Source organism: Homo sapiens, chromosome 5 (genome assembly GCF_000001405.40).
Source record: "Homo sapiens chromosome 5, GRCh38.p14 Primary Assembly".
NCBI classification, from domain to species: Eukaryota; Metazoa; Chordata; class Mammalia; order Primates; family Hominidae; genus Homo; species Homo sapiens.
Genome location: NC_000005.10, coordinates 129,371,025 through 129,387,924, shown reverse-complemented (window position 1 = coordinate 129,387,924; position 16,900 = coordinate 129,371,025). Strand labels below are relative to the sequence as shown.

Here is a 16,900-nt window from a genome sequence, read left to right as displayed (position 1 = left end):
ACTCATTTGTTTGCATGTAACTAGCAGATATATACATATACTGGTATAGAAGATAAAATAAGATAATGAGGTTATTACAGTGTAAGAATTATAAATCCAAAGTGCCAGGTATACCATTTTCATTCAATATGTTCCTTCAATGATTTTTTTTCTTTTTACAAGAGATTCATGTTTATTATATTGAAAAGTACAAGAAAAATACAAAATTAGCCAGGTGTGGTGGTGCATGCCTGTAATTACAACTACTAGGGAGACTGAGGCAGGAGACTCACTTGAACAGGGGAGGCAGAGGTTGCAGTGAGCTGAGATCACGCCATTGCACTCCAGCCTGGGCAACAATTGCGAAACTTAGTCTCAAAAAAAAAAAAAAAAGGTCTACTTGAAAAGTACAAGAAAATAGAAACAAAATGATATAAATAATATCTGTATTTTGGTAATTATGGTACCTTTTCTACCAAATATTTTTAAATACACATTTTTATATGCATGTGTATATATGTATGTTATTGCTATTTTCTGATTATGGGAAAGAAAGATACAATTTTATATGCCTATTTTAGGAAGGGTAATAAATGCTAGGAATTGTATTGAGCTCTTGTTGTAGATACTTCAAAAATAATAGTGGCTTAAACTTGATTTCAGAACATCTCTTTTTCTCACATAACATGAATTGCTATGGTGGCTCCATAAAGTTATCAGGACCCAGGTTGCTAACATCTTTTTGCTCTATCATCTGTAATGTGTGGCTTCCATCCTCAAATTTACCTCATGCTCACAAGATGGTTATTGGATTTCCACTATCATTACTGAAGTCCGGATAAGAACATGGTGAAAAGTGAAAGATCCCCTACCAGTTCCAGATTTCTTAAGGAGTTTTCCCCAAAGCTCGCACAACAGCTTCTTCTAACATATCAGTGGCCACATTCATAAGCAAGGGCAGCTAGAGAAATGCAATTTTTTAGATGAGCACATTGCTGCATCCAACAATATAGAGATCCTGAAAAGTTTCGGGAAGCAGAGAATAGATATTAAGTAGGCATCTCTAGGTCATGGGGACTGAAGGGAACAAACTGGGATTGAGTGAGAGTAGAGTCTAATTTTACATCACCTAGTCAGGAGTTAGGGAGGGTGAGCACTAATATTCTTTAGATGGCACCATCTGTAATAGATGCTTGATGGCCATGACTTCACATAAAACTCCATCCACTTAAATGTTGAGGTTAATGATAAATTATGAAAACATTAAAATAGCAAACATCTTAAAATTGAAATGTCTTATAAAGACACAGCATTGGCATGTTTTCTTTTATTTTAATATGATTTTATGTAAGTTTCTGATATGTAAAGGTGTCCAAGCTGTTCAAATGAGCCTGGCTATTTGGTTGTTAACAACAGTCATTTTTTTGCAATCTACTATTCTTCCAGAATTATTGAAATTTTTTTTTTTTTTTTGAGACAGTCTCGCCCTGTCACCTAGGCTGGAGTGAAGTGGCGCAATCTCACTCACTGCAACCTCCTCCTCCGAGGTTCAAGCATTTCTTCTGTCTCAGCCTCCCAAGTAGCTGGGACTACAGGTGCATGCCACCACACCTGGCTAAGTTTTCTATTTTTAGTAGAGACAGGGTTTCACCATTTTGGTCAGGTTGGTCTCGAACTCCTGACCTCAGGTGATCCACCAGCCTCAGCCTCCCAAAGTGCTGGGATTACAGGTGTGAGCCACCGTGCCTGGCTTCAGACTTCCTTGAAGATTTCTGAAATTGGTTTCTGGAAAAGAGTAACCAGCAGAGGACACTTATTGAAGAGGGAGTGAAATCCCAGCACCATTTTACATTTACATAAAATTTTAAACTAAAAACAAACAAGTTATGTATATTTTTTGAGATGGAGTCTCGCTCTGTTGCCCAGGCTGGAGTGCAGTGGTGCGACCTCGGCTCACTGCAACCTCTGCCTCCTGGGTTCAAGCGATTCTCCTACCTCAGCCTCTGGAGTAGCTAGGATTACAGGTGCATGCTACCATGCCTGGCTAATTTTCTGTATTTTTAGTAGAGATGGGGTTTCACCATATTAGCCAGGATGGTCTCAATCTCCTGACCTCGTGATCTGCCTGCCTTGGCCTCCCAAAGTGCTGGGATTACAGGCGTGAGCCACCTCACCTGGCCTATGTATATTATTTTTCAAAACACATAACACTTCTGCTATACAAAGAGGTAATTTATACTTATTATATTGATAAGAAAAAGTTTACCGTAGAATTGTAAGCAACTTGTATAATAACAGCATCAAATACATTCATGGGATAGTTGGTTTCTCAATGTAGATCTTCCAACTGCGTGATTCTCACCAGTGATAATAAGGAACCTGAATCATTTTCTCTCAGAAAATGAAACTCAAGACAAAGTCAAGGCACCTAAATTCATAGGAACTAAAGAGCAACAACATCATCATGAAAGCTGAGGCTCATTAATTAAGAGAAAACTGAGCTCTCTATATTGACTGGCCTGGGGTTACATAAGAGAGCAGGTTGGACCTCCTTGAGCCATGTGACTCCTCCAGTGTCAATAATCATTTAGAATATGTATGTTGATGGTACAGACACTGACTATTGGTGGCAGAGGTGGGAAGAGCTACTCAAACAGAAAATAACAAGGACAACATTATGACTTAAGTTATATTTTCATTTTGTAATATGGAAGTCTCTGGAAAGAGAGCCTTTTATACTCAAATTTTCATTTGATTGATTGAAATTTAACTAAACTGGTCATACAAAAAAAGCAACATTTTTCAGTGCATCTGAACATTTAGAAGGCAATAGTGTAAAAAGACAGCATAGTGAAATTACTATCTGGTTACTTCTTTCAATAGGCTGAAAGCAAACTCTTAACATCTGCACTTAAATTGTAGAATTCAGCTATCCATCATAGTTTTATTGTTCATATCATAAACAGACCTAATGTAATTAGTCAAGAAAATGACTCATCAGTGGCCACAAATCAGTCATGGGCTGCCACTGTTAAAATGCAAACATAATACATATTCATGCATAAACAGGAAGGTAGACGACATCATTGCTTTGTTAGACTACTTTTTATAATGAAGGCTTGACAAATGTTATAAACATCTTTATACAATACATCACCATTTTCTGCTGAAGGGAACTTGGAAGGAGCACAGTGGAAACCATAATAATGATTTTAGCCCTTTTTGAAGGGCTAAAAAGGCTGATAAATGATATACGACTGAAATATTTAGTTTTAAGAATAAATGATCCAAGGGTACCTAAGTGCATATCTTGAAGTAAATTATATGATTATAGATTTTTGAACATATGTTTTAATTAATGAAAGGAGGAAATACACATAAGACATATTTAAACAGATATAAAATTATAAAACTACAAAAGCTATTAATGTGTATAGTTGCCAATAAGTATAGTTGCAGAGTTTGCTTTCTTAGCTTACCTTATAAATAGGATAAATATTCACCAAAGAAGAGCTTGGCGGGTGAATAATTAACTTTGCACTGTGATAAGAGTGTAGAATAGCTGCAGTAGAGTGACGAAAGATGTAGTTGGGATCCATATTGTAAATGGCCATGTAATACAAGCTATGTGGTTTGGAAACTATTCTGTACGCAATGCAAAAGTTGGAAGATAAATTAGAGAAGGACATGATTAGTCTTCTTTAAGACAATAACTTCAACGGAAACTTAATCATTTATTTTATGGGATATAAATTTCATTACATTTATAATATTGTATTTTTTAAATTTATGAGTCTGTGTTTTTTAAAGATACATAAAGTTAATATATCCAGGGGCATTCAGCTGGAAATTATTGGTTTTTATTTTTTAATTTATTATTATTTTTCTTGAGGTGGAGTCTCACTCTGTTGCCCAGGCTGGAGTTCAGTGGTGCGATCTTGGCTCACTACAACCTCCGCCTCCTGGGTTCAAGTGATTCTCTTGCCTCAGCTTCCCGAGTACTACAGGCACACACCACCACACCTGGCTAATTTTTGTGTTTTTAGTAGAGATGAGTTTCACCATGTTGGCCAGGATGGTCTTGAACTCCTGACCTCAAGTTATCCACCTGCCTCAGTCTCCCAAAGTGCTGGGATTACAGGCATGAGCCACCGTGCCAGGACTATTGGTTTTTAAAATACTAAAACATGTGTTAATTGTTAGTTAAATACAGTTGGCCCTCTGTATCTGTTAAGTTCTGCATTCACAGATTCAACCAATTGCTGATTGAAAATATTCAGAAAAAAATGGCATCTGTAGTGAACATGTACAGACTTGTCATTCCCTAAACAATAAAGTATAACAAATGACTTACATAGCATTCAGATTGTATTAGGTATTTCAAGTAATCTAGAGATGAGTCAAAATATATCAGAGGATGTGCATAGATTATATGCAAATGCTACACTATTTCATATCAGGGACTTGAGAATCTGCAGATTTTGCCATCTGCAGGAGTTCCTGGAACCAATCCCCCCAGCATACAGAGGGATGACTGCATTTCCTGTCCTTTTACTTAAAAAAAAACAACAACAGTTTTCCTCCTCTATGATACCATGCCAAGCAACTTAATCATAATAGGTTTCATACATAAATGGAATTGCCAGCTTAAGAGAGCCCCAGAAAGTCTTTCTCAGTCTCCTACTTATAATCCAGTTACAGTTAATTTGGACACAGGTTTACTTTATGTTTAAATCAACCTTATAAACTTTAGATCTCTGCAAGATACCAGATTCCCATGGGTCAAGAATTCTATTCATACTGGCAGGATTATTGAAGCTAAACCCATCACGTTCAGAGTGATTCATCTAAACATTTACCAAAAGCTGCACACCACCACTTGAAATCAGAATAACAGAAATAAGACCTTTCTGGAAAGACTAACAGAAAAGAGACCTATACTTTGAAGTAGGTTTTCTAATACTCTCTAACCTGTCTTTTAAGATGCCATCAGAAATTCATTCACAGTCATAGGGCTGTCAATAGGATATACTCTGCTCTCCATTGGTACTAAATCTAAATACTATTCTCTTTTCAACTCCACCTGAAACCTATTTTATAGTTTTGGATTGAGGTTCTGCTTTCTTTGGCATATATTTACATTTGAACAGTTCATACTTGTTTACCTTGAGAGAATCAAATATATGCAGACTGTCATACCTCAGATATTGAATGAGGCTCTGTCTTATTTTTCATAAGTTTTTAATCAGGATCTCAAGGACCTCACGTTCTCCAGTAATGGTATTCTCATCCAATATGTGGATTATTTATTGCAAAACTCTGAAGATAACGCAAGCTCTAAAAGCTACCTTCTCCCCAAAAAGGAACATAACGTGTCAAGAAAAAAAAACCTGTTTCTCACCTTACTTGTGTCATGACATGTCTTGTGGAGGTAAGTCTCTTACCTCTAATTGACTATAAGTCATGGAAAAGTTCCCTAGGTAGGTAACTAAAAGACAACTCTGCAGAATTCCAGTTCTCATCAGCTTTTGTAAGACATTGAATTTCTGCCTTCTCTGAAATCACTTTACCTATTTATGGTCATAACATGAGACTGCATTTTGCAAACTCATGTCAACTCCCTACAGTAAGTTTGCTTAACTGCATAAACTTTTCTCTCTGAGTAAACCAGCCAGTCAGCCTTACAGCTAATTAGTCTCTCGATATGAGCTAACCCATCTTTCTTCAAGGCTGTAGAGGCTTCTGCAAAACACATGAAGTTTCTGCTGACATAATTTTAGGGTCTTGCATACATCTAATGATCCCCTGACAGAACACGTTTTGCTGCTTAATGAAAAATACTTATTTCATCACAAGATGGCTTACATTCCACGAAGTGTTATTATATTCTCCTTTCAATGTTACATCAAGTTTTGCAAATATATTTTATAAGAAATCCACAATATTACTTTGAATAGAACTATAGTTTCTAAAAATAAATTTGAACATAGTACTTTTCATTTGGGTCTTCTACTTTTGTTATCTATTGATCAAGAAATGTGGTTTATGATGATCCTATTTTATTATCTGTGTTTCATGAGCACTTGAAAAACTAATGTTGAAATGTATTAAGACATGTAAAACATATAGAAACACATAGCATATGGTATATTATATACAGTCTCTTAAATTTTCTATTTATTGACTACATCCTTTTATTATTTGTCGTATCCTGATAAAGGGAAAATAAAATCTCTACTCTTATGTGTCTCCTACTCTTCATAGCTTTATGACAAGTTATGTTTTGTCATTTTGTAAACAAATATTCATGACATAATACAAAGCAAATTATATTATTTTTCATTATAAAGGGTTCTTTATCATTTTTCTAATATTTTTCCATGAATTAAATATTTCTGATATTTCTAACTTCTGCTTTTACACTCATCTGTCTAGATTTGTTCATCATTTAACTTTCTACAGTCCTTAAACATTTTGTTCCAGATGAATTTCTTGTTTATAGAAAATAGCAGGGTTGCTGTGTGATCGAAGCTTCCAATCTAGTAACTTTCTCTTTCTGCATTAAAGAGTACACTTATTGTCTCTTTGTTTGTTTATTTATATGATAGATATGCTTGCTATTAGTTTTGCATCATATTTGAGGAAATGCTGTCTAATGCTAAAATACATTTTGATAGATGGCTTGTGTTCTTGTTGGGTTTTGGTGTATTGTTTTCTATTCTGTGGTTCTTCTGCAGCTTATCTGTAGAACATAAACCAATCTGCTTCACTAGAATATTGAGTAAATTGGAATACAACACTCATATTGTTTCTCCTTACTTCCTGATTTTTGTCAGTTGTTTTATATTTTCTATGATGTCAATGTTTATGAAGGTTTTTGTTTTCTTCTTTAAATATAATATTCATTATTTCTTAGCATTAGTTCTATATTTAAATGGACTCAGTGCTTATTATCAATGCTCATACTGTGTTTATTTAACTTTAGGCAGGCCACAATTTATTCTCATGAGGATTTTTAATAGTATTGAATGCTATATTATGGGGTTGTTCTAGTATATTTTTAAAATGTAAGACTGTTGTCTATAATAAATGAGAACTTGGCTTAAAATTTAAAATGTGTTTTCACACTGAAAATATACTTTGATCTATAATATCCATATATTTTCAACTCCTTATTGTAAAATTTTTAAATTTTTCTCAAAACCAGAGGGACCAGTATAACAAACATATGGAATATTGAATGTGGAAAACTTTAACTTCAGCTTAATTATTTTTCCCGTAAGTATTTTTTGTTTTTTTGTCCCAAAGTTATTTTTTAATTGCTTTTTCCTGAGGCACTCAACATCATTTAGTCTGCATATTTAAATATACCTTTATTTTAGGGAGGTTTCTTACATCATATTTGAAATAAGTTTTTTTAATTGGTTCTAGTCCTGTTCTCAGACATCAACATTTAATGTGCTGAAATTTTCTGTCTTTTAAAAACAATTTTCTTTTATATAATACAAATTTTTATAGCTATTTTTTCTTTTCATCATACCTACTTTCTTTAGGCATCATTTATAAGTATAGGCTAATGAATAACAACATGAGCTCATCCATACATAAGCATTGATGTATGCATTTTGTTTTATTGGCAAAGGGCAAATAATGAGAAATATAAGTTTTTTCATAATTAAAATAATTGTATGCCATGCTCTACATTCTAAATGCAGAAAACTCAATCACAAAAGGATAGCCTTCATGTTTTATTTATTTAAAGGCATAGCCTCTTTTGTTCTCCTGACCTAATACTGTAACTCCCTTTCTTTCAAACGTATATCTGAATCGCCTTTCAGCTATTACTTTACCTTGTTAACTGGGGTAGCCTTTATTTTCAAAATATGTGGTTGAATTACTTCAGATATTAATAAAAGACATTGATGTATCACTCATGCAAGGAATAAGTATTTAGAAGAAAGTTGATTTTGTTTGAAGTAATATTAACTGTTGAATAACTTCATTTCTTTAATACATTAGGTCTTAAAGTAAAAAAAGTTTCCTTTGATCCACACAACATCCGTCGGTTTAAGGAGTCTAGCACTGTGTTTTTCCTTTCTTATCTTTGTATAGACCCCATGCTAATTTCTTTCTGGTTAATACAAGGAGGCCTTTTTTCTTGCCAGTTGTTTCTTAAAAGATGGTGTGAGAAACAAGTTAGGCAGGGGAATGAGCTGGGTCAGCAGATAGGAAACTACAGATGGAAACTTGAGCTATCACTTTTCTACTGAACATTTACCCAACGGACTGTGGCTCAGTCCGTTCCAGGCTGGCAGGAAAACACTGGGCCCCAGGGAAGATGACCAAGTTTGGTGTGGTGATTTGGCAGTAACTTCTCTTCCTGTGGTCAAAACCAGAAACTATAGAGCTGCTTGCTGTGCTTTCCTCAGACTCTTTGACACACAGTCAACCTGCGCACTGCCTCAGTCATCTTTATCTCATCTTCATCTCATCTTCTTCTCTCATATGCCAAATACGAGTCAGGAAGGCTTCCCTCAACTACCATTTGAAGTGAGGGTTCATTGGACCCTCAGATTATGGAATATATGTTGAAGGGCTTTGCAAGATGTTAATGATCTGCATCTGCCTTTGAATTTATATTACCACCAACCTCATTTTTCACTGCACTTGTATCCTCTCCTTGATTAGTCGTACCTGCTTTCTAGGTTCATCAGAAACAATAACTAGCATATGTTGAATGGTTACTTAGTGCCAGGCACTGTTCTGAACCTTTACCCTCTGATGTAATGACATAATCAATCTCAAAGAGATTAAGGAAATTGGCCCATATCACACAGCTAGTAAAGGATGCATTAAGAATTTGAATTCCGGCAGTTTGCCTCCAGAGACTCTGCTGTTAATCACTATATATTCTACAATTTCTTGCACTTGTTTGTTTTTATTTGTTTTAGGAGGAATATCAGGACATAGATGTCTTTATTTGAGAAGTTGTTTTTACTAGATACCCTCTTAGATCTTAAAGAATGAACGTCCTTTAAAGTTTTCAATGTCCTGGATATGAAAAAATGGATGAGACATTCAGAATATCAATCTACAATTATATTCTACTTATTTCCATAATCCTAGACTCTTAAGGTAAACTCCAGGCTAGGAAATGTTTAGTGGTTCCATAGTTTTTATTTTCTTTATTTGTAATATAATATTTTTTGTAGAGTGTGAAATAGTTTCAAATAATTCAATACGGTCAAGTTAAGAGACTAAGGAAAGGAAAATTGGTTAAAAGTAGACAGATTCTAATATACAACTTATACTTTTATATAAAATACATATTTATAACACTAAGACATGCTTAGTAAAATGATTTATGGCCTTTTCACGCAATGGAATATAGTACACATTTTAAAAGGAATATCACTTATATTAACCACAAGATCTCTAAGACTGATTGTGGGTTGCAAGGAATAATTTGCAAAAACATGGGTACTATGACCTGATCTGTATAAAGGTGTTTGTATAGAATACAGTCAAATGAGAATATTTTCATAGAGAAAGATTGAGAACTACATGAAATACAATATTGATTGTAATTATGCCTTGGGGAGATTTCAGATTTTTTTATTTTTTATATTTTAAAATTTCTGTGAATTATTTATATTAGCAGAAAAGATTGATGTAATTAGGATACTACTTTGAAAACACTGGATTTAACTCAAGCCACAGGCAAGGAAAAGTCAGTACATTGAATAGAAAACTCTCGCCTACACAGGAGACAGATGGAAGTATTTCTAAGGACAAAAGGGAAGACAATATTCAGAGAGAGTGATATAGGGAGCAAATAGTCAGATGTACTTTTATTACCCAGTGTGGGCATGGGTAATGGTTGGAAAAGTCCAATAAATTTAAGAGAATCTCAGAGCAGTCAGTCTCATTTTTCACTGTCCTAAAAACAGAATGGAAAATTTAAATCCATTTTTAAAAGTCTGTATACAGCGTGTACTAGCAGAAGAGTGGGCTGCAAGTGGCTGAGGGAGGAGCTTTCTACTAATTCTCAAAAGTTCTGATGTCCTCTCAGTGGGGATGTGAAAAACAGCTATCGACTAGGCCAGTGGTTCTGCCTTGAGGCTGCCAGGGTGAGGGATGATTGATGAGAGAATTCTACTTGAGTTGTCCATGGAAGGTACTGATAAGGCTTAGGAGTGTCTGTAGTAAAAGAAAGATCAAAGAGAGGGCCAGGTGTGCAGGAAGAATTACTGGAAGCCAGCCAAGACAAGTGAATGAGTCTTGAGCTTACCACACCACACAGCAGTGGCAGGTGTCATTTGCACGTTCAGTGATAAGGCAGAGAGAAAACTGCCACAGAAACTCGTAATGATTCAGGGGACAGCACAAATCATAATACCTATACACTTAAGCACCATCTTAAGGAGAAGAAAGGAAACTAAGTGATACAAACAATGAAAATCTACCCCAAAGAGGATGATTTATCCTGAGATTCTGTGAACAGGAAGTGTCTGCAACAGCCTCAACTGGGAACATAAATCCTCTGGGTCTTTATTTTCAAGGAAGTAATGGCTGAAGAGCAAATCTAGAGCAATTACAGAAGTCAAAACAGCTATAGTTTATTCATAAAGTAGTACTATAAAATATTGACAATTATGCAGTCTTAGAAAATTTTTTCTTTTTCATAGAATATCTAAATGATAAGTGATCAAGACTGATAACAAGAGATTAAACCCTTCCAAAGTAATAGATACAAGTATCCCAGAGGTGAAAATAACCGACATTCTAAACAGCTACCATAGGCTAGGTTTTGAAGTAGGAAGGGCTGAGGGTCAGGCTCTGGTGCTTGGTTAGACCTAATTCATAATGGTCAACTCTAGTAAATGATATTGGTCAAGGAAAACTAACCAATTCTCCTGTGAAGGAGAGTTGAAGAGCATTACTATCTCTCACTAATCGGAGAACCAGGCCTCAAAATTGGATAATTGGCAATTTCGGAAACTAATATGACTGAGTGCCTTAGATCAAGGTGTAGGGTAAGATTTCCAGAAAACAGACCTGGAGATCTCAAGGAAACAAGAAGTAATTCAGGCTAACAAAGGCCTGAAATGTTAGGACTCCTTTGGAACCCAGAGATAAGAACAGATTTCATAGGATGTAAATTTTAATAACACAGTTCAGTATGTGACCAGAGGTCCCAAAGACAGAAATATTGTGGATATGCATAAGATTTAAATATATTCATAGTTTTCCAGATGCAGTAATGTTTCTATTGGAGTTGAGCACTGTATACTCTGAACTAGAATTGTATAACTTTAACATGCCAATTGAGCAATATTTATCCAGTCAAACATTTATTTGCTTGTAACTTGACTTACTTCATTTTTAACTTCACTTTTTATCTGAGTAGATAGTTGCTGAATTAAAGACTTTAATTTCCATCCCCAATGCAGAGAGAAATATCAGTGCAAAGTGATCAGAAGGAAAGTGTGTAACTTGATAATTTCAATGTGTTCATTCTACTGTTAGGAATATCCATTGGTATTCCTCTTGCTGAACTACTTATTTTCAGAGGAAAAGTTTGAAAAGTACTGTTTTAGAAAATTTTGCTGTACAAGTTCAAAGATTTTAAACAATGAAACCTAGTTCATTAATCCTTTAGCTGGGAGAGACAGTTAATGATGATCACATTTTTGTGCCATCATTTTTTCATTTTTACATTCAGTGTATATAACTTTTCCTTGTTAAGAAATAGGCACATCCATTTATTGAGAATGCAAGAATAATGCATTGTTTTGCAAATATTTAAATAGATATTAAGTTTTATGGCAGGTCATATAGTGTTATACTTATTTTACAGAAAAGAACTGAGTTTTGGAAAGCGAAGAAATTGACCAAAGAGTAAGCGAAGCATTGAAAAGTACATATTTGAAATTGTCAAGCTTTAAAATTATGTAACTGGAAAAAAAGGTTTACTTAAAATGGAAAGAGAATATTTTGTTCTCGTGTTTTCCCAAAGGAAAGTAAACCACTATCATAACCATCCAATACAGAGAACTTCATCAAAACTGGTAAAAATTTCCAATATCAATCCATTATTGATATTGGAAATGTATTATGAAACAACCTTTCAAACTCTCATATAAACTGTCATACAACAAAACAAACACTTGCATTTTAGAAGTAATACGCAACCCTTCCCAGAAATATTCACATATACTTAGACACTGCTTTGTTTTACCAACTATCACAAAAACTTAAAATAGGCAAAACTTTTGTTGAGTCTTTAGATTATTCATCATATACAAGGTCAGGTAAATTTATAGCATGGTATGATCTTGCCAACTAGCCTGTGAAGTTGAAACTCTTATTCCTATCTTAAGAAGTTCAGCATAGAAGGATTAAGTAATTTGCCCAAGGATGCTCACCTAAACAAAGTTGAGATGTAAATTAATTCCAAACCAATTTTTGAAAATCTGCACTAAGATTATACAATTCCAAAAGAATTGTTGACTATTGTTGACAACATGCAGGATTTAATTGTATTGGCTTAGACTTAATTCATCTCGTCTTGGCTTAGTTTTATATCCTTGGGTAACAAATTTAGTCCTTCTAAGTTTAACATCTATAAAATAGGAATCTAGTTCCAACTTCATTAGGTTATGGGCAATATTAATTATGATAATGTATGTTTGTAAAGTATGGGTACCTGAATATACCAATAAGTGGTAAAAGGTTATCAATGTTATTAATTTGACCTGACTTTTGAAGTAATAATTCAGTTATCTACTTGAAAATATGGACAAGTTTTCCAAGGGAGAAATGTCAAAGAAAAGATTGTATTTTAAAATAAACTAAAAAACTTCCATATTAATGCATAAGGACCAATAGCTTCAGGGTCCAGGAAAGCAGATATTCTGTCTTTTGCTAAGTATTACATCTTTGTTCATTGTTTATCACAGTACCTGCCACATGGTAAGCACTCAATAAAGATTTATTAAATTGACTGATCTCATGAAAAGGAAAAGAAAAAGGCAGAAACTATATATGTTAATAAAACTTACGATAGTTTTTTAACATGTAGGAATATAATCACTGGCTTTTCCTACAGGAAATTATTAAGGCAATATGAAGGCAAATTAAACAATAGGAAACTCACTAGAAATCTTACAGGAATTTTAATCTATGACACTCCCTTTTTGAGAATATTACTGGGCTAATTGAAGAAAGCTGAATCCTGAAAGCTCAGCTAACTTTGAAAATTTGTCAATGTTAATTTTCCAGTATTCCATACTATTGATATTACCTTTCTTAATGTTCACAAACACTATGAACTATAGAACAATTTTTTTCAAAAAGAGGTCTTCTTGAAGCATAGTACATACTTTTCCATAAGTATCACAGAAACCTAGAAGCTATACTCATAGGTGCATTTTATCCCATAAGAATTAAAATTTTATTATTCATAAACTTAGAGAAACCTACTAGAAATAAATTAGAAAGGACAAACAGCAAACTGGCAAAAATATTTTGTTACATAGATAATAATCAAGGGGCTTTTTGTTGTTGCTGCTGCTGTTGCTGTTTTAGCCTAGCAGGTGCCAAGGACCCAAGAGGAATATTGGCATAGACGTTGTTCATGAGAAGTTCTTCACAGAATGAGAAAAGTAAAGGCCACCAACTTATGAAATGATATTCAAACATATTCTTAGGACATTTAAAGCGAGCCCACAGTAAAATGCCTTTTATTAGTGGTCTGGCAAAACATAAGATAGGTAGTGAAATAGCCTTTGACAGGGTGTGAGAAAGTAGTCCTTTTTTTTTTTCTTTTGGAGATGGAGTCTCACTCTGTCACCCAGGCTGGAGTGTGGAGTGCAGTGGCACGATCTTGGCTCACTGCAACCTTCAACTCCCGGGTTCGAGCCATTCTCCTGCCTCAGCCTCCCGAGTAGCTAGGACTACAGGCGCACGTGGCCACTCCCGACTAATTTTTTTTTTTTTTTGAATTTTTAGTAGAGACGGGGTTTCACTGTGTTGCCCAGGCTGGTCTCGAACCCCTGAGCTCAGGCAATCCGCCCTCCTCGGCCTCCCAAAGTGCTAGGATTACAGGCATGAGCCACCATGCTCGGCTGTCCTTTTTATATATTGTTGATGAAATAGGACAACTTTTTGAGGGGCAAAACGGAATATAAAAAATTTGGAATGTCCCCAAACTGGCCAAGGAATTTTATTTCTAAGAATTTACCATACAAATAGCCTAAGACAAATATTCATATAGGTAATTTGCAGTGCTTCTGCAAAAGAAGGAAATAGTCCTGGAAATAGAACTAGTTGAATAAATCATAATATCTCTATACCATTTTATACTTTGTAGCCAATACAATAAATGTCGTAGCTATGAAAAGTTTACAATATTTGTTAGGTGACCATAGATAGAAAGTTTCTAAGTATTGCATGTAGCATGATTCTATTGGTAGATCTGGAAGGATGTAAAATAAAATAAGACCATGGGGAGTAGTGGAGAATAAGACGGAGAATTTTTAATATTTATGCAATACCTACTTGTAGTGTTACCTTTTATTCACAAAGGCAGTTATTAACAAAGGCAGTTACCACTTGTATTTTTTTTTTTAAGAATGAAAGCCATCTGTCAAATTAAACTGGAAAATTATATTCTGTTTTTAAAGTATATAATCTTTTATAATTTTAAGATGATGCTTTTTTTTCTTTCAGCAGGGAGTAAATTTAGCAAGGGTTTAATCTGAAGCCAATGTTCTTACAAAAGTAAATGTACTATTCTGAATTCACACAGTGACCTGAAAATAGTATGTAGTATGGGTATTTATAATTATTATTTATGACATTCAATATAGGAATTTTTTCAAGGTGAAAAATTCTTCAGTGAAAGCTAATTTGAAACACATATTTCCTAACACCTGTAAGAAATCTAAAATTTGTGTCATCTTTCTTCAAAGAAAGATCTGAGATCTTGCGAAAATGTGAAAAACTAATAGAACATTTTCCCTTTGCCCTAAATTGCTAATTTATTTGAAATGTTAGATTTTTCTTTATGTAATAGAGATATAAATAATCACAGTAGTATTCAAAGTTATCCATGTTTTAATTCAAAAGTCATTATGTATTATTTCTTCTGCAGAAAGGACATCCTGATAAATGAATTCAACATGATAGCACATGAAATCAGTCCTTCCAAAACTATTGGTTTTGCTTACTTACTATGTAGCCTTCCTGTTATAAAATTATTTACATTTTTCAACTGAAAACATATTTTAAACATGCAATATTGACATAGCAATGAATTTTATAATAGTATAAAACACCTATCTAAAAATCTCAAACATAAAATGATTAAAATTAATACCCTTCTATTTTAAAATTTGTATACTTCCATTGGCATAGGCTAACACATAGCAGGACAATATAATATACTGTAGCATCAAACATTTTCAATGAATTCCAGAACAAAACAAGGAAAAAATATTTTTTCAATGATGGAAAACACATTAAAAATGTTTGCTGTTTTTAAGGGGTTTTTTTTGCCCCCAAAGAAACATTTCAATTTAAGCTTCTTAGATATACTGAAAGTATAATATCCAATGTTATTTCCTCATGTTTGTAACTCAGGCACTCTAATTATCTTGCCTGAGGCAGTCACACATCCTTTCCGAACCTTCAGAAGGATGAGAAATGGAGCCAGATGCCATTTCCCTTCTCTTTATTCCACTTGTCTTATTTGCTTGGAGCTCCTTTTGAAGCTAAGAAGGAGTAAGAATCTGGCCCTTTGTTTCTGTATGGATAGTTAATCCCCCTTAAAGAAATTCCTCTGATCAACCCGCTTCTAATTAAGATTGGACCTTTTCTTCCTGCTTCAGAACTTTTCCATGGGACTTAGGAAGTCTGGTGAATATTATACACTAAGAATAAACACACGGTGTTGATGTAATTGGCATTACAAAACAGCTTCTCCAATTAACATTTCCTTCAATTTTTGAAAATTGCAGAAAACTTCAAAATCATTTTTTGTTATGGCTGTGATTTTTTTTCTTCCTCTGTATAAATAAAGCCCCATCTCTGAAAAAGCAGAGCCTCCTTAATTATCCTAGTGGAAAATTAAGAACAATAGTGTTACATTTGATTGGTGGGTTTACTGGATGTGACCAAAATCCAGTTAGATGAGTTCCAATTAGATCTGATCCCAGAATAATTATATTATAAATGTTTACATATAAAATAGAATGTCCACACTGTTTTAAACAGGGGAAACAGGCATATAGTTAGGCAACAAGACAAGACTTTATGAGTTTTTTTTTAATCATGTGAACTGATATCTAATGAAAGATTTACTGGGCTTGGGTTTAGAGTCATGAGTTCTAAACCTGGATCTATTAGTTATCTCCGCTGGCCAGATATCATCTCTGTGTTATAATTACTTTTTCAGTCAACAAATTTATTCAATGTACGTGGATTAAGCTGGCATACAGTAGGTCAGTAAATGGTAGTTTGTTTTCCTTCTTGTGAGTGTGGGGTCTCTTTCTCTTCACTCCCATACACTACTACACTACCACTTTTAAAACAGATTTGATCACACTTCTGTTTGCTTATCTAAATGCATCAAAGTACTGTGAGCTCTTAGGCCCAGGGACTATGGCTTGTGACATTTTCATATCCTGACCACTGGAACCCAGGAGACTTGTATACTTATTGATCTGAATAAAATTGCATTGATTAATTGTCAAATACTCTTTTTGTCTACACAGGAACCATTCCCTTTTTTACCTTCCCAACAGAACCCTGCTTTTGTTTGAGTACCAATGTGCCTAGCCTCAGAGTCCAAGCCAATTATTTTGGTATCATTGGCAGTAGTTGCTGTAGACACATTCCTCACCAGTAAAATATAAAG

General features: G+C 34.3%; 1 long non-coding RNA gene across 3 annotated transcripts in view; it reads right to left on the bottom strand.

Moving 5' to 3' along the window:
* LOC102723654 (uncharacterized) overlaps nucleotides 1–16,900 on the bottom strand; it is a 253,720-nt gene that overhangs the window by 6,004 nt on the left and 230,816 nt on the right. For all 3 annotated transcript variants that reach the window (XR_001742463.2, XR_001742465.2, XR_427770.4), the window contains one exon: nucleotides 3,459–3,624. This is a non-coding gene — a long non-coding RNA (uncharacterized LOC102723654). The remainder of the gene's footprint in view (nucleotides 1–3,458; nucleotides 3,625–16,900) is intronic.